This window comes from Homo sapiens, chromosome 16 (genome assembly GCF_000001405.40).
Source record: "Homo sapiens chromosome 16, GRCh38.p14 Primary Assembly".
NCBI lineage: Eukaryota > Metazoa > Chordata > Mammalia > Primates > Hominidae > Homo > Homo sapiens.
The window spans coordinates 28,021,331-28,042,809 of record NC_000016.10 but is presented as its reverse complement, the minus strand read 5'-3'; the positions used below and the strand labels follow the sequence as shown (position 1 = coordinate 28,042,809).

General features: G+C 47.8%; 1 protein-coding gene across 5 annotated transcripts in view, besides 1 other annotated feature; it reads left to right on the top strand.

Moving 5' to 3' along the window:
* GSG1L (GSG1 like) overlaps positions 1-21,479 on the top strand; it is a 276,187-nt gene that overhangs the window by 20,905 nt on the left and 233,803 nt on the right. The window lies entirely within an intron of this gene.
* Positions 15,712-16,212: an enhancer, noted in NCBI's record as "H3K4me1 hESC enhancer chr16:28037919-28038419 (GRCh37/hg19 assembly coordinates)". NCBI's record gives its function as "activates a minimal SCP1, AML or CMV promoter by ChIP-STARR-seq in naive H9 embryonic stem cells {active_cell/tissue: H9 hESC(naive)}" and the evidence as "EXISTENCE:reporter gene assay evidence [ECO:0000049][PMID:30033119]".

The following is a 21,479-nucleotide window of genomic DNA, read 5'->3' as shown; positions in this document are numbered from 1 at the left end:
TTTTCTTAGGGACGCAAACACATGCTTTCGTGAATGATTGTGTGTTTCCTCTAACAAGCACGTCTCAAGGACCTGCTTTTATTGTCTACCTTGAGTATATCCTTCCTCTTTTTCAGGTGGTAGAATTGTCCCCAGTGTCTTATTTGCAATGATTTCCCCCTTTCTTTTCTGTATGGAAAGATCTCTTTAGGCCTACCCTTTGCTCATAAATAGAGTGAGTGGGTTCTCTTTGATACTTCTCGCCTTTCACCTGGTTGCAATGGAATCTTCCTGACATATCTCCAATGGTACTGCTGGTTAGCATGAACATTACTAAATGGATTTCTCTGTTGTTGGGATTTACTTACATTTTATGACTTTTTTTTTTTTTTTTTGAGATGGAGTTTCGCTCTGTTGCCCAGGCTGGAGTGCAGTGGAGTGATCTCAGTTCACTGCAACCTCCGCCCCCCGGGTTCAAGCAATTCTTCTTTCTCAGCCTCCTGAGTAGCTGGGATTATAGGCGTGCACCACCACGCCCGACTAATTTTTGTACTTTTAGTAGAGACAGGGTTTCACCATGTTGGCTAGGGTGGTCTTGAACTCCTGACCTCAAGTGATCCACCTGCATTGGCCTCCCAAAGTGCTAGGATTACAGGCACGAACCACTGCGCCCAGCCCATTTTATGACTTTACTAGCTGGAGATAGGATCTCCCTCTCACCTCCTGGTGATGTGATCATGGAAAGAAAAGCAAGACCTGCATGTTATTTGAAGGATGCTTGTAGTTCCTTTCATAACAGAAATGGCGAATGTAAAACCACAATTCCCTCCATGCACTATTCCCACGTTTCTCCACGTCTTTGCCCAGTTTTACTTTGCAGCTCAAGATGTTGAGTGGATGGAAGCCAGGGGGATGAGCGATCCTGGAGCGATTCTCTCAGAAACTTCCAGCCATTCAACATCTGCGATGCCCAGCGAGGGCACGAGGCTGAGAGGGTAAGTGAATGTGCTTTGCATCTTGAGTTGCAAAGAGTCTAGTGACGTAAATGCCAACCAGCAGTGACGCTGGTGCTATGAGAGGAAGAATCTAACAGCAACCTTGTGAAAAGTGAGACGATTCAGGTAACCCACCTGCTCTATTTTTGAGTAAATGCCAGGCCTGGGGAGATCTGTTAGGTTTGGATAAATAAGAGGGAAGAGTGTGGTAGACCTCTTCACTGACTTACTATCAAAAAGTTGTGAGTAGAGTTGTGGTCCACTTATTCATTCATTTACTCATTCATTCCCTCATTCATTCCACGACTACTACTAAGCTCTGGATGTACATTAGAATTATATCAGGCACTCCATCCGGATATAGTATCTTTTTTTTTTCTTTTTGAGAGAGGGTCTCACTTTGTCACCCAGGCTGGAGTGCAGTGGTGTGATCGCAGCTCACTGCAACCTTGATCTCCTGGGCTCAAGCAATCCTCCTTCCTCAGCCCTTCAAGTAGCTGGGGACTACAGGCATGCACCAACACACCCAGCTAATGTTTGTATTTTTTGTAGAGAAGGGGTTTCACTCTGTTGCCCAGGCTGGTCTCAAACTCCTGAGCACCAGGGATCCACCTACCTCAGCCTCCCAAAGTGCTAGGATTACAGGTGTGAGCCAGCACACCCAGACTCTGATACAGTATCTTTATCCTGATAGCTATCAGGGATCAAAGAGGATACACTGGGTCTTTGTCCTGCGAGGAATTCTTCCATTGCTACCTCCGTGTGACCTTAAGAAAATGGTTCAATCTAACAGTGCTTCATTTTACCCATCAATGAAATGGACATAAAAACCAAACATCTTAGGGGTTGATGTGAGATTGAGAGGACACGGAGGTGCAGTCCTCACCCTAGCACTTGGCACAGGCTCAGTGCACAGCACACATTTGCTGCTGTGGGGTCTGAATAAGGCCCTCGGAACGCAGAGAGATGGTCTGGGATGGGGATACTGGATGGAAAAGGAGTGTCTGGCTGAACCTGAACTGATTCTAGGAGATGCCCTGGCGGCCAGTCAGCACTACCCTGCCTGGGGCGGGCATGTGGGGCTCCAGAGCCACCTGCAAGTTCCCCCACCTGCCTGCAAGCCCAGAGGGGCCAGAGCCCAGTGGAGGGAAGGCTCTCAGGCCTGGGGGCTCTGAGAGCATCTTCATGTCCTGCGGGTCTCTTCTTAGGTTGCTGGAAGGGCATCCGTCCTTGACATTTCATTCATTCGTTCATTTATTAGACTTTTTTTGAGTGCATACTGTATGCCAGGCACCATTTTTTTCTATTATTATTATTATTGATGTTGAGAATACAGTGGTGAACAAGATGGGGTCTCTACTCTTCCGAATTCGTAATTAATTCTGGGGGAGTATGTGGTGAGGCAACAGATAAGCAAATAAGATGGTTTTAGAGCATGAGAATTACAGTGAAAGAAAAGAGAAGTGATGGGATGGAGAGTGATTGAGAAGAGGGAGGCCTCTGGGGAGGTGACATTTCTCTTGAGAATGGAATGTCAAAAAGGAGCCTCCCTGTGGAGATCTGGAGAAAGAGCCTCAGACGGAGGCAATCGCAAGTGAAAAGGCCCTCGGGTGGGAGAGGGACCTGAAGGGAGGCGTGAATGGCTGGAGTCCAGTTAGGAGGCGACTGCAGCGGTCCATGAAGGAGACGATGGCAGCTAGGGCCATGGTGATGGGTGTGGAGAAGGGTGACGGGCTCAGCCATTGTTTTGCAGGAAGAAAGGACAGGACTATGATGAGGCCAGCAGGGGAAGGAGAGGAGTCAGGGGTCTCCCTTAGGGTTTTGGCTCCAGAAGCTGGTGGGTGATGCCATTTACTGAGATGGAGAAAAACGAGGGAGGGGCGCGGGGACAGGTTGAGGGAGAAAATCAGGAATTTTGTTTTTGGACATATGAAGGTATAAATACTCATGTTGACTTCTGATCTGCTGTTGACCAAGGAAAGAAGCCCAAACTGTTGTGTGTGTGTGTTTATATGTGTGCGTGTGCATGTGCCTGTGTGCGTATGTGTGCATGTGTATCTATCTGTGTGTGTATGTGAATGTGTATGTGTGAGTGTGTGTGCATGTGTGGGGATGTGCATGTGTGTGCACAGGCATGTGTAGTGCGCGTGCATGTGTGCATACGTGTGTGCATGTGCGTGTGAGTGTGCATGTGTGTGCACGCACGTACATGTCTGCTTGTGTGTGTGTGTGCAAGTGTGGGTATGTGCATGTGTGCGCGTGTGTGCACATATGTGTGCATGCCTGTGAGTGTGTGTGTGAATGAGTATGTGTGGATGTGTTCTGCTGAGGGATTCTCAACTTTGGCCCTGTTAACATTTGGTACCAGATCATTCTTTGCTGTGGGGGTGGGGGGCCAATCCTGTGCATCGTAGAGTTTTTAGAAGTCTCCATGGCTCCTACCAACTAGATGCCAGTGGCACCCATGAATCTCTCCAGCCATTGCCAAATATCTCTTGGGAGGCAAAATTGCTCCTGGTTGGGAACTAACATGAAACCTTCATAGGGGCATTTCCCACGTCATAGGGTGGAATGGAAAATACACAGCATGGGTGCCAGCACTGCCCCCTTCCTTCCCCATGGTCGACATCCTTAACTGATCACATTGTTTTTTCTACAAATCTCAGATGCTCCCTCAGAATCCTTCCTAACACAGGTGACCAGGAGCCATTATCAATAACTAGGATTGGCATTTAGATGAAACCCACTTATTCTCTCTTTTCTAAGGTTAGAAAAAGATCCCAGGATGATCTCTGCAGCCCCCACACCAATTTGCAGTCAAATCCTAGACAGCAACCTTTGCACATCTGTGCCTCAGTATCCCTATATGTAAATGAAAACAACCTGAATTGCTCTCTGTGGATCTGATAGAGCCTTAAGTGGGAGGATCAATGAGATAATCTCGATAACTCAATTTGAGTTTTTGAAGGTGGGCAGAATGTTACAGAAATGTGCAGCGGGATCATTATCTCAAGGGATGCCATGAAGGTGAATCTGTAAATAATTAGAAAACATTTAGCTGGTATAACGTGCCAGGTTTAATCATGGCATAATGAAAAAGGCAGGCTCTCAGAAGCGGGCGGGCAGGTTGGAAGGCCCTGCAGTCTGCTCTCTCTGGGTATCGCCAGGAGGACGGATGGCGATGCTTGAGGTTACGGTAATCTGTGTGTGATGTTTTGTTCGGGCTCAGGGTAACCATGGAGACAGACTCCCCCCACCGCCCGTAGTACCAATTCCACACTCCTGTGCATATGTACACACTGCACATGCACGTCCCCACTTCCCTCCACCCCAGCTCCTTCTCACCTGGAAAGGAGGGAGGATTCAGGGGAGACCCTCCAGAGGGGCAGCCTCAAGGCCGCTGGACTCTGGGGTTGTGGGTTCAGATCCTGCCTCTTCCGCTTCCTGAGCATGATCCTGGAATGTCACATAGCCTCTGGGAGCCTCAGTTTCTTAATCTGTAAAATGAACTTAAAATACTTTTTCCCCAGCAGGGTTATTTGGGGGGGGATCAAATTCTAGGCTGGATGTAGTAGTGTATGCATGTGGTTCCAGCTACTTGGGAGGCTGAGGTGGGAGGATCACTTGAGCCCAGGAGTTACAGACCATCCTGGGCAACAGAGCAAGATCCTGTCTCTAAAACAAAACACAACAACAAAACAAAATTTATCAGCAGTGAGGAATTCTCTGGATGTGGAACTGCAAATTGTTTAACTGCTCCGTGCCTTAGCTCCTCATCTGTAAGGTGGGATAATAATTGTACCTACGGCAGAGAGATCTGAAGCCCATGGTGAGTAGCTCTTCTTGGTGCTGATGAGATTACATTTAATCCATGACCTACAGGAGGGATTGGGGCCCTTGGATCCAACGTGTAGATACCAGGCAGTCATGGGAGGGCTTAGGGTTCAGAGAGGTGGGGAGAGGCTGGAGGTGGCTGCATCCCAAGAGGGGAAATATTAGATGGAAAAATGTACCTCGTGATACTCAGGTCCAAAGAGGGAACAAACAGGATCTAATGGGTGAGTCCAGCAACATGTGAGAGACTCCATGGGACTTTGGTCCATTGCAATTTGATAGAAGAATAAGGATTGGCTCATAGTAAAGATACATGTGGGTTTTTATATTATTATTATTACATTGTTGCTGCTGCTATTGTTGTTATTGTTATTTTGTATCAACAGTGAAAAGTGGTTTCCCCAAACCAGAGCATGACCTAGAGTTACATCAATAGAAATATTATATATAGCATGAGGGAGGTGATGGTCTGTCTCTTCTCTGCCCTAGTAGGGGACCACCTGAAGCATTTGTGTTTGATTCTGGGTGGCTTCCATTAAGAGGGACATTGATGAACTGGAGTGGGTCTTCTGGAGGGGAAGAAGTTTCTCCACGAGGAAACTGAGGCTGTGTTTTCTTCATCCACTAATGGCTTGTGGTTCTAAGAATTAAGAAAGATACAAAGATAAATTTGCAAGGCTGGGCGTGGTGGCTCACGCCTGTGATCCCAGCACTTTGGGGGGCCGAGGCGGGTGGATCACTTGAGGCCAGGAGTTCAAAACCAGCCTGGCCCACATGGTGAAACCCCATCTCTGCTAAAAATAGAAAAATTAGCCAGGCATGGCGGCACATGCCTGTAATCCCAGCTATTCAGAGGCCCAGGCACAAGAATGGCTTGAACCTGGGAGGCGGAGGTTGCAGTGAGCCGAGATCACACCACTGCACTCCAGCCTGGGGAACAGGGCAAGACTCTGTCTCAAAAAAACCCCAAAACCAAAACAACAACAACAACAACAACCAAAGATAAAGTTGTCCCTGTGAAGTGCACACTCTTCTGGGGAGTACAAACCAGGCATGTGACTGTCACACATGTGGGAAACGTAGTTTCCGGCTACAGAAAGAAGCATTTTAAAGAAATGCTTAAGGAAAGAGGAGACTGGGAGTGGGAGTAGCCTGGGGACATCTGGGAGCTGTGTTGAAATGCATCAGGACGTCTGTAGGGAAAAGCGTCCTGATTTCTCCTACGTGACCCCAGAGTCACCATCAGAGAGAGACAGTGATGGAGAGGCCCTTATAGAAACAAGCTCAGCTCAAAGCAGAACTGGCTGCTTGGCTGCTACCTGGCTGGGTCTCCCAGAAGACGACCCTAAAACTAGGATTTGAGAATTTGCATTTGAGCAGTTGATTTGGGAAGGGATTCCAGGAAGTCCTGGTGAAGGGGGGGACAGAGTGATGGGAAAGGAGAGGCAGCCGAAGCAGTGTCCTGGGGCAACTTGGAATCCCAGTGGAGGGCCCTGGGAGACGTGAGGAGCGTGCCTGAGTTGTCCCCCAGACCAGGGGGGAACTGGAGTCTTTCTCCACTAACTCCCATCTACCACTGGTTGAAGGCATCATTAACTTTCAGTCGGCCCTTGGTGCTGGGTGGGCACATACCAGGGCATGAGAAAGCTCTGACAGAGGGAGTCGTAGGAACTTGCAGTGAGGAACCTGTGGCCTTTAGGGGACTGGCAAGCACTGGGGGCCTCAGGCAGCTTCGGGAGGTGGTAGTGAGTTTCCTGACACAGGGTTATATAAGCGGTGCCTTCCTGCGTGACCACGTGGTGGGGAGCCAGGCGAGTCTACTCTGGGTGACAGAGAATCTTTAAACCATTTTGTACGTGTTGCCCACTTGAGAGATGATGTAATCCCAGGCCTTGTCATCCCACGGATGATTTGGGGAGTTTGCGTGTGGGTGGATGTGGGGGAAGAATAACTTTTTTCAAGCTGTTTTTTCCCCTCCTAAACCACCCACTCCTGCCTCACTCTTGGGCTAATTCTAAATAAAGGGGCCCACTCAAAGGCTCAGCTTTCGGTCAGAAGGGCCCAGTTTGCTGATCCAAATGAATCCCACATGGATTAATGATGTTTTCCTGAGGGACTGGGGTCTGGAAGCAGTGAAGTGGCCCCGTAAGCTGGGAGAACCACTGTCATCCCCGCTTTGTCCTTTATGAGCTGTGGAACGTCAGATGGGTCACTCTCCCTGGGGTGGTAGGAGCTCAGACTTTCCATCTGGGCAATGAGGGGTTGTATGAGGAAATCTCTGATTCTTAAGTTGTCATTTGCAGCCTCTGGAAAACTTTGAGTAAGACTTGAAAGCAATTTATGACTTGAGCTGCTGTTAAGCTACAAAGACCCTTGTGTGGAGGTCGGGGCTATTATCATGATGGAGTACTTACAGTAGCAAAGTGCTTCCCGATATTTTATTAATTAAACATGGTCCCGGTACAGCCCCCACTGCCTGCTCTTGTGATGGGGTACATGTGTGCTATAAAATCAGTTGGGTCTATGTGAGGGAGATGAGTAGATGGTAAATAGTAATTGTCACTAAGTCATGCTACTGAAAAGCTAGCAGTGGGGATTCCCATGAAAGAAAGATCCTCACCTATTTTATTTTAATTTAAAAGGCACTCTAAAAGCCATTTAAAGTACAAATACTTTAAAAAATACAGCTGAGGATAGGCGTGGTGGCTCACACCTGGAATCCCAGCACTTTGGGAGGCTGAGGTGGGAGGATTGCTTGAGACCAGCCTGAGCAACATAGTGAGACCCCATCCGCTAAAACAAAAACAAAAACAAAAACAAAAACAGCATTAGCTGGGTTTGCTGGTGCGTGGCCATAGTCCCAGTTACTCAAGAGGCTGAGGTGGGAGGATTGCTTGAGCCCAGGAGTTTGAGGTTAAATGATCATGCCACTGCACTCCAGCCTGGGAGACAGAGTAAGACACTGTCTATAAATAACAATAATAATAAAACACAGCTGCAATTAGTGAGTACATGGGGTGGGTAGAGATGTTGTCTGTGTGCTAGGCACTCCTCTCTCCATTGTACAGATGGACAAGCTGGCAGTCAGAGAAGTAATTTGCTAGTATAGGGGTTCTCAACTGGGGGCAATTCCCCTGCACCTCCACCCCAGGGACATTTGTCAATATCTGGAGACATTTTTGTTTGTCATGACTGGAGTGGGGGCGTTATAGGCAGCCAATGGGTAGAGGCCCTGGATGCCGCTAAATATCCCACAGTGCACAGGATGGCTCTCCTACAACTAGGAAATGATCCAGCCCTGAATGTCCACAGTGTGGAGGCTGAGAAACCAGATCAGCTCTGCGCTCCCTGAGTCCTAACCTTGGCCTCTCCCCTGCCTGTGTTGTCACCCCATGGGATGACAAGTCCAACAAAGGATGCAGACCTCTGAGAAATAGAAAGGGAAAAAAAGAGGAGACAGATAGAAGAACAATGGGAAGTTGAGAGAGATACTGAAACCAGTTGATGTTATATGAGCACCTGGATCCAGCTGAGACTGAAGCCCCGCTACCTTTTTCTTCACATAAGCCAGTAGAAATTTGTCTTTTTGCTTGTGCTGGTTTGAGCTGGATTTTGTCGCTTGCAGCCAAATAGATTTCCCAATTCATTTTTGAATCCCAATGCCCAGACCAGGAACTCGGGACCATAGGGATAGGATGGGATAGGATGGGATGGGTTGGGATGGAATGGGATGGGATGGGATGGGATGGGATGGGATGGGATGGGATGGGATGGGATGGGATGGGATGGGTTGGGATGGGATGAGATGAGTTGCATTGGGATGGGTTGAGATGGGGTGGAACGGGATGGGATGGGATAGGCTGGGATGGGATGGGATGGGATGTGTTGGGATGGGTTGGGATAGGATGGGTTGGGACAGGATGGAATAGGTTGGGATGGGATGGGATGAGTCCCAAGTCTCAAGTCCTGCATGGGAACCCTGTGAGCCTCAGTCTGGTCTCTGATCTCTAAGATGGGCTGAGATATTGCCAACATTTATGTGTGTGTGCGCTGTGGACTCCCTTGAAGAGGGGATGGGAGCTAGGGAACTTCTCTCTTCAACAATTTTCCGCTTTCCACTGTGCGATTTTCTCTTCTTAATATACTCTTTTGTAGTCTGTTTTTCATTAATTATCCCCATAAACATTTCTCTGAATTTCCATAGTCATAATAATGATCAATATTAATGGCTTCATACTACTGCATCTTAACCACAGAGCACTATTTCCTGAGTAATTCTTGGGTTGTTGGACATTTATTTTATTTTAATTTTTTGTTTCCTTACAGTTTAATACACAATGATTATTTTCTTGAACAGAACAATTTATTTGTTGCATGACCTCTTTAGGAGAATTCCCCAAGAGTATTTTTTCTCTCTTTCTTTTCTCCTTTCCTTTCTCTCTTTCTCCCTTTCCCCTCCTTTCCTCCTCCCCTTCCTACCTTACTTTTTTCTTTTTTATTTGATTTAATTATGTTCTTTGGAATAATAACATGAACCTTGGTTTAAAATTCAAAGGCAGTACAAAAAATCTCATTCCCAGTCACCCACTTCCCTCCCAGGGGCAACCGCTGGTGGCATTTTAAAGAATTCATCTGTTAATATTTCATTTTTAAAAAATAAATGGCATCACATCACACTCTATCCACTGTTCTACTCTGGCGGTTGTAGATGGGGAGCTGATCTCCTTCAGATAGTGAGGTCGGAGAAGGCTTCTCCAAGGAGGTGACACTTGAGTTACCTAGAGGACGGTAAGAGAGGGAAGAAGTGGTCCAGCAAGAAGGATTGGCAGGTGCAAAGGCCCTGGGGTAGGATGCAGTGGGCAGATTTGAAGTACTCCATGGAGGCTGATGGGGCCATTGTAGAAGGAGAGAGGTCAGATTGCTAGAGAGGGACCCTGGTGTGCAGAACCTCATTGGCTGCAGTATAAAATTTGGACTTTATTCTAAATACACTGGGGTGCCTTTGAGGGCGTTTAAGCAGGAAGGTGACAGGACGTGGCTTACATTTAACAAAAGTGCATTCTGATTGAGGACTGGGGAGTAATGGATGAAGGCAGGCAGATATTGAAGGGTTAACAGGTGGGGGGCCAGGTGAGATGATGGTGCCTCGGCCTTGTGGGAAGATGGAGAGAACTGGATGGACTCAGGATATTGTTTGAAGGAAGAGCCAATAGGATCTGCTGACAAATTGGATGTGGAGTGAGAGGGGAAGAGGCATTTTGGACAACTCCTAGATTTTTGGCCTGAAGAGATGGTTGTGCCCATTACTGAGATAGAGAAGACTGAGGTGGGAAGAGGTTTTTGTTTGTTTATTTAGTGGGAAGGAAGCGATCTTAAATTCAGACCTGGCCGGGTTATGTTTGTTCTGTCTGTGTGACAGCCCAGAGGCAATGTCAAGTAGACAGGGAGAGAACAAAATACATCTCAGAGCCCAGAAGTGTGATCAGGCTGGAGACATCAACGGAGAAGCCGCCAGCCCCAGGATGGGCTGAGACGCCTGGAAGAGCGCGTCGTGCATACATCAACGTATGAATCTATTTGTCTCACTCTCACTACGCCAGCTCTGCATGTTGTCATTCGTGTTTGTTATTCGTTTTGTAATTTTCTAATTTTCAAAAGCAAACATGGCCTGTAGTGAATGGAAAGAAATTGTGCAGCTGCTTGTATTTGGATCCTAGAGGCTTTCTTACTTGTTTCAGTGGCTTTACCTAATCTAAGGTGAGAATCCAAGTCTGACGGATACCAAAATTAAGAAAAAGAGCCTTTCTGGGTTTCCCATCATGTTCGTGCATCTCCAGCTATTTCTGCCCTGAAAGTCAGAGGTGCTCACTGGAGAGGAACCTTCCAGTAAAAGAGCCGGAGCTGTCTCTTCTCTTCCGTGTCTCCTGAATACCCAAGAGATACAGTTCCCCTGTGATCTTGCTGTAATGAATTCTGGTTGCTTTTTCATTATAAGCCCTAATTTTCTCCACTTCCAGATTATTTTCCTTTCCAGTGGGGTTATAATTCCTTGTTGGAGCCCCAGGGCATGTGTTTTTCCCCTCCGCCATCAAGGCAAGGAATTAGGAAATGCGTGATCTCTGTGGAGTGGCTGCTCTCAGGCCCCTGGCATGGAGGTTCGTCTGTCAGAAACAGCTCTACGCACATTCAGAAAGTGAATCTTGTATTTATGTTAACTTTTATATAAGGCGGCATTAACTAATGTAGCTAACAGATGTTTATGGAGGGTTATCCGTGTGCTGGGGTCAGAACTGAGCCTGTCTCTCAGCTTGCCACAGAGAATCTGAGAACTTAAAGTAGGCAGAAAATTCTAGGCCACCTTTGTGTTCAAGCCTCTCATTAATGAACAAATGGGTGCATCCATTCATAACCTCAGGGAGCCTCAAGCTCTTGGACACCCTGCTTTGGGAAAGTTAATAGGTGAGTGCAAATAATAATGTTCCTAGTCTCAGCATGGCATGGGTGTGGTTATCATTATGAGCCAGGCTGAATCCCATTCCATTCCATTCCCATCCCATCCCATCATCCCATGCCAACCCATCCCATCATCCCATCCCAACCTATCCCATCTCATCCCATCCCATCCCATCTCATCCCACCCCATCCCATCTCATCCAATCCCATCCCATCTCATCCCATCCCATCCCATTCCATCTCATCCCATCCCATTCCATCTTATCCCACCCCATCCCATCCCATCCCATTCCATCTTATCCCACCCCATCCCATCCCATCCCATCCTATTCCATCTCATCCCACCCCATCATTTCATCCCAAACCATCCCATCCCATTCCCATCTCAACCCATCCCATCCCATTCCATCCTATCCCATCCCAACCTATCTCAATTCATCTTATTCCAACCCATCCCATCCCAACTCAGCCCATACCAATCCATCCCATCCCATTCCACCCCATTCATCCCATACCATCCCATCCAATCCCATCCCTCCCATCCCATCTTATCCCATTCCATCGCAACCCATCCCAACCCATCCCATCCCATCTTAACCCATCTCAATACAACTCATCCCATCCCATCCCAACCTGTTCCATCCTGTCCCAACCCATCCTATCCCAACCCATCCCATCCCATCCCATCCCAGTCTATCCAATCCCATCCCATTCCACCCCATCTCAACCCATCCCAATACAACTTATCTCATCCCATCCCATCCCATCCCATCCCATCCCATCCCATCCCATTCCATCCTAACCCATCCCATCCTATCCCATCCTATCCCTATGGTCCCGAGTTCCTGGTCTGGGCATTGGGATTCAAAAATGAATTGGGAAATTTATTTGGCTGCAAGTGACAAAATCCAGCTCAAACCAGCACAAGCAAAAAGACAAATTTTTACTGGCTTATGTGAAGAAAAAGGTAGCGGGGCTTCAGTCTCAGCTGGATCCAGGTGCTCATATAACATCAACTGGTTTCAGTATCTCTCTCAACTTCCCATTGTCCTTCTGTCTGTCTCCTCTTTTTTTCCCTTTCTATTTCTCAGAGGTCTGCATCCTTTGTTGGTTTCACTCTCTGGCAGTCCTCTTCATGTAGTGGCCCCAGCAGCTCCAGGTTTATATCCACCCAGTTTGGCACCAGTAAAAGTCCCCAGAGGGCTCTCATTTGTTGGGCTTGGGTCCATCCCTAAGCTTGCCACTGAGGTGTGAGGAATGTGGTGCTCTGATAGGCTAGGCTTGGGTCAGCCGCTCACCTCTGGAGTTGGGGTTGGAGTTAGCCTCAACAGAGACTCACGGACTGAGCTGCTGGTTCCCCGAAGGAGAATCAAAGTTCTGCTACTAGACAAGGGGAGGAGGGATGCTGGCAGGCAGAACCACAGAACATCCTCTCTATCTTTCTTCAAAAAGCTTCTTCATGCCTCTGTGCCTTTTACAAGCAGTTCCCTTCTGAAGAGGCCCTTCTCTGGCCCTCCTGGAAAATTCATTCTTCCTCTTCCTTCAGGGTTGTTGGAGCTCCCTCCATCTGTGATGTTTCATCCCACGAGCTGGCATGCCTGTCATGTCTGTACACACTGCCCACATGTGCGTGCGTGAACACACACGGCCCACATGTGCGTGCATGCACACACACACACACGCTATCCTTGTAGTTTGAGAGTGTTGTGTAGTTGATATCCAGTACCAGAGTAAAATCCTGACTCAGCAAGAGTTGCATCCTAAGCTGCATTTGGATTTCATTGCTCATCCATCATCCATCCATCTTTAATTCATCCATTATACATCCATCACCCATGAATCCATCATTCTTCCATCTGTCCATGACCACTCATCCATTCATTCATCTACAGTCCATCCATCTATCTACCCATGATCCACCCACCCATCCATTCATCCACCTGTGCATCCATCCATCCACCCATGCATCCATCCATCCACCCATGCATCCATCCATCCATCCATCCATCCATCCATCCCTTCATGCACCCATATATCTACACATTCAGCCATCCATTTTTCCATCATTCATAATCCATCCATCTAACAAATATTGCTGATGCCTTTGCTATGCCAGATGGACTAGAAGATCCCTGCCCTGGAGAGCAAAACATAGTGAGACAGACAGACACAAAAACAAAGATAATTCAGAATGATACAAACGATCCCATCTCAGTCTGGTGTCAGCAGTTTACTTGATGCTGCTGATTCCACTTATAAATAACGCACTTCTACTCACATAATGAAAATGGCAACAGTTCACATTCATTCAGTTCTTTACACAGCACTTTCTCATTTGTTTCTTAGGACCCTTCTTTGGGGGTAGGTATTCTTATCTCTGTTTCTCAGATGAGGAAACTGAGGCCCAGAGAAGGCAGGGAACAGCTCAAGGACCCTTACCTTGACCACAGTGGAGAAGGTACTCAGAAACAGGCCTCAGATACAGCTCCTGATCCCGTGTTAGGCAAGGTGCTTTCCGTAGGTTGAGGATCTGTTCATCAGCTGATGTGGGTCGCCTGGTGCCCTGCCATGCATCACCCTCCAAAACAAACCTGGGCTGGGAGAGCCTAGCTGGCTATTGGTCACTGCTGCAGCGTCTGAGAGCTCCCTGAAGCCCAGGCCTCCTCATCTCTAGCCACTGCCTTTCTGGCTGCCGGGGACCACAGCACTGTGAAGAGAGGCAGTTCCTGCCTAAGCCTGGAGGCTTAAGGAAGGGGCATATTATGTCTCCTCTAGATAGTATGATCTGCCCCGAGCCTGAGGCTGGCTCTCTCTTTGTTCAAAAGAGAGATTAGCAAGTGCTATAGAGGCATTAACAACATATCAGCACCAAGCTGAGACTTTCTCCTTGGTATTAATGGAAGGACAGGAGGAACATTAAATAAGGAATAATTTCCTTTCTCTGAGAGTTAAAAGCTGGGACTCTGAAGCAGAACTGCCCAGGATTTAAACTGTTGGCCATGCAATGAGTGCTAAGTCTTATTAATATTATTCTTATTGTTATATTGTTACTGTGGACAGAGTTTAAAAGCCACAAGCAGAATGAGGCAGTGGTAAACAGTTTACACTCGGGAATCGTAGGCCTAGGTTCCAATCCCGGCTTTGTCAAGTCTTACTTTTGTCAATTTGCAAGTGACTTGACCTCCTCAAGGCTTGGTTTATTCATCTTCAAGATCGGGATGAAAATAATAAAAATAGTCAACATGAGGGATTATTTTCTACCTGCCTGGCACGGGTCTAGGCACTTCTCATGTAATAACTCCCTTGGCCTTCATGGCCCATCAACTACACTGGCTAGATAAGGAAATTGAGGCATCTTGAAGTTCAGTAGCTTGCCCAAAGTCCCACAGCCAATTGTAGGTGAAGGTGGGATTTGGGCCCAGGGCAGTCTGACTCTTGGGCTTGTGATAGGCTTAGGAAAGACTCACGAAATGACACATGTACGTGACCAGCCAAATGCCTGGCACATAGTTTGGTTAAATAAATAGAGGTGATGCTGCTGCTGAGGCCTTAGGTGTCAGCTCTGTTGCTGAGGCTGGAGTGCAGTGGCGCAATCACAGCTCACTGCAGCCTTGACCTCCAGACTCAAGAAATCCTTCCACCTTAGCCCCCCAAGTAGCTGGGACTATGCCTGGCAATTTTTGTTATTTTTGTAGAGACAGGGTCTCATTATGTTGCTCAGGCTGGTCTTGAACTCCTGGGCTCAAGTGATGCTCCCACCTTGTCCTCCCAAAGTGCTGGGATTCAGACTTGAGCCACGGTGCCTGGCCAAGACTCTTACTTCTAATGATGGAAACCCTACTAGTTTAAGCAAGTCTAAGAAAATTATCTACTCCTGTGAACTACAAAGTCTAGGTGGTGTCAGTTTCACCTGAACACAGGTGCCCAAAAATATCACCAAATGCTCTTTGATTCCTTAGACTCTATTCCATTTAAAATTTAAAATTCAGTTCCTCATTTGTACCAGTCACATTTAACATGTGACTAGTGGCCACTGCATTGGATGGTGCAGAACATTTCTATCTTCACTACCAGATTGTATGGTGCTGCTCACTATGGAAATTAACGTGGCCCCTCATAAGCCCTGCACTGAAACCCCACCTGCCTTGCAACCCTAGAGGGAAGAGAGCTGCTTTCCCATAACTCTGGAGAAAAGGCTCAGGGAAGGCTCTCATTGGCCTGATTTATATCACATGTCTATTCCTGAACCAATCACCATGGCCTGCAGCGTGTGAATGGAGTACTCTGATTGGCTGGCTTAGATCATGTGCCTGCTTCATTGGTGGGATGGTTAGGCCTGCCCAGAGCACATGGCATATGTTTCCAGAATAGGGGAGAGAAGAGGATGGAGAGTGAAAAATGACATACTGTGATAGATGGTATTCTTTGTTTATAATTATTAATTCCCCCCTCCACCACTGCTGTGTGTCCCTGAAGGGGCGTGTACTGTCCCACTTCTGAGTGCAGTGGTGCTATTTCGACTCACTGCAACCTCCATCTCCCGGGTTCAAGCAATTCTTCTGCCTCAGCCTCCCGAATAGCTGGAATTACATGTGTGCACCACCATGCCCGGCTAATTTTTGTATTTTTAGTAGAGATGGAGTTTCACCATGTTCGCCAGGCTGGTCTCGAACTCCTGGCCTCAAGTGATCCATCCACCTCAGCCTCCCAAAGTGTTGGGATTACAGGCATGAGCCACAATGCCTGGCCCCACTCTTGATGACTTTGAATTTGGTCGTGTGCCTTGCTTTGATTATTGACTGTGAGCAGATGGGACACACGCAGTATCTGAGCACAGCGAGGCTCTGCCCTGTCACGAGGATGGGATGCCTCAGACAGTGGCTGTTCCTTCTGCCTGGTCCCAGAATGCGAAGGGACGGGGCCCAGTGTAACCAAGACCGGCCAAGCCCAGCAGAGCCCAGCTGAGCTGCGTCCAGCCTGCTTCCCTCATGCGACAAGAATGAGAAGTAAATGCCTGGTATGGAGGGCCACTGAGAGGTTAGGACTCTGTTCTGGCAGCGAAAGCCGACTCGTGCACACCCTGATCCTCTTCCCGAGTCCCATCCTGCTTCCTGCTCTAGTCCACCTTGGGCTTCAGCTGAGGTCCCTCGCTGATGTGTGGCAGATCCGCAGCAGAATCAGACTCCAGTGAAGAGCAAACTCAGGCTGGAGTAGAAGAACTTGTGACATTTCTCAAGGGGCTCCTCTCCTGGTTCCTCTTAAGCTTGCTGCTGTTCATTCAGTCACACACAGTGACTGAGCTCCCGTGATATACCGGGTGCTGGACCTGCAAGATCTTGCGAGACCCAGCTCCTGCCCTCAAGGTGCCCCCAGTCTGTGGGGAGAGACATGGGTGAGCAGGTAATGAAGTCACGGCAGGCCCAGGGCTCTGGCAAACCCGGGCCGAGGACTAGCTGGGCGTTTGGCTTCCTGAATATCGGCCAGCCTTGGACCCAGAGCCACGTGTTGATCAGACGAATTTCTTTAAAAATGACCCTGGGCTAGAAGTGCAATCCTAGCCATGCAGGTTGTCTGGCAAGGCCAAAGGATTCTGGAGATTCTCCTGGTAGCAAGGAGCTGTCTTCCCCAAGCCCATTATCCTCTAGCCTGTGCCTGCTGTGGCATTTCTCTGCCTGGGCTCTGGGTCACATTTCACTTCTGTTGCAGTCCCTGGGGCCATCAGGATGACAGGAGCATCACGCCCAACTGTCAGCCCTCTTCTGTCCCAACACACTGTTCTGACTTCAGACCTTGCCAGTCCCAATTATAAAAGAACAGGCAGGGGATGGGGTCCCCGCTCTTTCACAGGGTCCCAGGCAAAGGCCCGGCTCTCTCTTGCTCATTTATTCGTGAATTTATCTGACATACATTGAAAGCCAATTATGTCTTGCTGCTGGGGCAGGCAGGGGTGACAGAGATGATTAAGATACAGTCAGCCCTTCTAGCCTGGGCCCAGCAGCGTTGGGGGCCTGCGGAGCCAGGGAGGGTTGAGCCGGGCTTGGGAGGATGGTGAAATTGATCCAGCAGTGAGCATTTTAGGCAGAAAGAACAGCACAAGGAAAGGCACGAAAACTGGATGTAGGGTTCGAGCACAACCTTTTGGAGGTGGGGTGCATGTCCCCCTTATGTCTGCTCTTCCTTAGATGAGGTGGCATGGCCCCTGCCCAGAGTTGCCATCTGGGGAGATTTAAGGCTCCCCGAGCCTCCTGGCCCTAGCTGCTGGCCAGGCCCAGTGGCTCCCTCATCTCCCTTTCCTGCACCCACTCTCCTGGTGACATGGCTCGCAGTGCACATCTCCTGGGCAGGTGCAGGACATGGCAACCCTTGGTTCATCTGCTCTTCCCAGAGCCCCAGCCTTTCTCATGCAGGCTACTGCTGAGCCATGATGCATCCCTCCCAGTCCTGCAAGGTTGGCTTTCAGAACCTTGGAGTGGGGCTTTCTCTTGGTTCTGCACAGGAGCTCCTATCACAGCAGCAGTCAGCATGGCCTGAGCCCCCGGGTGGGAAATAAATCAGACAGCTGTGATGGTAACACTCCCATTTATTGAGCACCTATTATGTGCTGGGCACTTTGAGGGCTGCTGCAGCACACAGGGAACTTTGGTAAATGTAAGAAAGCCTTCCCCTCTGGGCATGGAGGATGGGCTCGATGCAGCCCTGCTCAGCCTCAGCTAAGTGCCCTCCTTCACGCACAACCTGAACAGCTGTCATTGGCAGCCCTGGGCCTTTCTAGTCAATATCTCATTTAATCCTCACAATAGCACTATGAGGTGTGTTCTGTTTGGACTCCTATTTTACAGTCAAGAAAACAGAATCTCTGAGAGCTTCAGAAACTTGTTTAAGGTCACCTGGCTGGCAAGTGTGGGAGGAGCACTTCATACTGGACATCTCTGAGGGCGACTTCTGCCCTTGCTGCTGTATTTCACCCTCTCTTGCCCTCAACAGCGAAGGCCACCCTTTGCTCCTTAGCTAATTTCCCAGCAATTCTCTCCCGCTGTTCCGGGGCCTGTTATCTTTCATTATTGTATTTTGTAGCTTCCTAGATTGTTTTATTTTTCACTCCCAGTGGCTCGTTGCTTGGGAGCAGCTGAGAACCCGGCAGTGGCCCTGCTCTAAACGCATCATGTCAGATGCAAGTTTATCTAATTTACAATCGGAGTTGGCGGCAGCACCTTGTCGATTCCATTTCGAGCTAATTTCCTCCCTGATGATTTCCATGGAGGTGGTGGGCTACTTGCCTCCCGGAATCTCTGCCAGCCCCAGAGCTGGGCTCCATGTGTCTCACCTGGTTGTGAACCCTGGGGGCATCGAGTTGCCCTCAGCCCCATTGAAGGGGTTATTTATGGCCCATCTCAGGAGCACGTGGTGGTTAAGGAGCAAAACCTCGTATCTTGGCAAGATCTTGGGTTTGGAGGCAGAAGTTCAGAATTCAAGTCCTCTTGCTGCCACTGTTTTTCTTTTTTTCTTTTCTTTATTTTTTGAGACAGGGTCTCATTCTGTCATCCAGGCTAGAGTGCAGTGGTGTGATCACGGCTCACTGCACCCTCCAACTCCTTGGCTCAAGCGATCCTCCTACCTCAGCCTCCTGAGTAGCTGGGACTACAGGCAAGCACCCCCACACCTGGCTAATTTTTTTGTTTTTTGTTTTGTAGAGGTGGGGTCTTGCCATGTTGCCCAAGCTGGTCTTGAACTCCTTGGCTCAAGCGATCCTCCCACCTTGGTCTCCCAAAGTGCTGGGATTACAGATGTGAATCACCATGCCACTTTCTTGCTATGTGATCTTAGGCAAATTGCTTAAGCTCACTGAGCCTCAGTTTCTTCACCTGTGAAATGGACAATAATGATGCATTGTTTTCCTTCCCCAAGATGGCAAAGAAAGAGGAACACTTTGACAATAGACAAGTTGGTAAGGATGTAGGGATGTGGGAATCTTCACACAATGCTGGTGGGACAGGAACTGGCCCGACCACAATGGACAACAATTTGTCACTGTGTATCAGAACCATAAATGTTCATACCCCTTGCCCCAGCAATTTCAACTGGGTTTGTATGTGCACAAGATGAACGCATGTGCACAAGAATGTTCATTGCAGTCTCATTCAAAATAGAGAAAAATGAGAACAAACAAAATGTTCATTAATAGGGGGACGGCTAAATGAATTGTGGAATATTCATTCTATAGAATGTGCTGCAGCCACTAAAAAGGATGAAATGATAAAATCTATAGGAGACAAATGGATTAGACTTATTGGCAAGTGAAAAAAGCAGTGCTTAGAAAGATAGAAGAGAGAAAGATAGAATGATAAGTATAAAACAAAAACAGAACAATATTTTGTATTTTCTTAAACAAAAACCTTTTAAAATTATGAATTATGTATACTGGCCAGCTGTGGTGGCTTATACATACAATCCCCGCATTTTGGGAGGCTGAAGTGGGAGGATCGCTTGATGCCAGGAGTTTGAGATCAGCCTAGGCAACATAGTGAGACCTCATCTCTCTATATATATTAAAAAACAAACAAAAAAATTAACTGGTTGTTGGCTGGGTGCAGTGGCTCACATCTGTAATCCCAGCACTTTGGGAGGCTGAGGCAGGCGGATCATGAGGTCAGGAGTTCAAGACCAGCCTGGCCAATATAGTGAAACCCCGTCTCTACTAAAAAAACATACAAAAATTAGCCAGGCACAGTGGCGCATGCCTGTAGTCCCAGCTACTTGGGAGGCTGAGGCAGGAGAATCGCTTGAACCTGGGAGTTGGAGGTTGCAGTGAGCCGAGATTGCACCACTGCACTCCAGCTTGGGCAACAGAGTGACACTTCGTTTCAAACAAAACAAAACAAAACAAAAAACAAAAAAAGAAAAATACAAAAATTAGCTGGGCGTGGTGGTGCACGCCTGTATTCCCAGCTTGGGAGGCTGAGTCACGAGAATTGCTTGAACCCAGAAGGCGGAGCCTGCAGTGAGCCGAGATCACAGCATTGCACTCCAGCCTGGGCAACAGAGTGAGACTGTCTCAAAAAAAAAAAAAAATTAGCTGGTTGTGGTGGCTTGTACCTGTAGTCCTGGCTACTTGGGAGGACCACTTGAGCCTAGGAGGTTGAGGCTTCAGTGAGCTGTGATCACGCCACTGTACTCCAGCCTGGGTGACAGAGTGAGACCTTGTCTCCTAAAAAACAAAAACATGTATGCAGAAAAGTGCATTAAAAAAAGATGATTTACGATTTAATGATTTATCCCTGATTGAACCTCATGTAATCACCTCTGAGGTCAAAAATAAAATATTGCCACCACCCAGCAACTCCCCTCATGGTCCTACCAGTACCTCCTACCCCCATCTTTACCCTGAGTCGTATCCACTATCCTGGTGTTATTACGACGGTCAATTCCTTGACTCACTTTATAATTTTGCCACCTAAGCCTACAACCCTAAACATATTATATAGTATAATTTTGCCTATTTGGTTTTGTATTCACATTAACGGAATCACAGTGTATTCTGTTGCTGTGACTTCCCAGGCTAGGTCACAAAAGGCATTGCAACTTCTGGCTGAGTCTTTTGGATTGCTGGCTCTAGGGAAGTCAGGCACCATGCTGTGAGGATGCTCAAGTAGCCCCGTGTCGAGGCCCATGGGGAGAGGTGCCAACCCCAGCTGGGCTATATCCTGGCATCTTGCTCAACATTATTTTGTGAGACCAATGCCAGTCATTGCTCTGCTATGTAGTATTTTTGGGGACATGAATATGAATGTAAATGATTAGGAAAAAAAAGGGTTAGAAAGGTACCCACCAAAGTGATGAGGTCAGTTTGGGAGAGGAGCCCAGAGGTAGGGACAGAAGAGTTCTAAAGAGATTTAGGGGTCTTATCTACTATCTGAATTTTTCTAAAGGAGAAATGTATTGATGCATTATTTAACTGATTAAATTTTAAGAGAAAGAATAAAATGGAAAAAATAAGACCTATTTGCTGGAGTTCCTGGGAAGACGGAATGCATTAACGTAGGTAAAACCTGGAGCCCAGAGTAGGCACTCAGTTAGAGGGAGATGAATACAGGTGAACACGAACCAAATGTCTTTTGGAAGTAGCCATAGGAGCACTATAGTGGAGTGGTCAGCTGCTCTGGATTGGACAGTCTGTGTTCAAATCCTGGCTCCACTGCTTAGCAGTGGTGTGACCTTGGG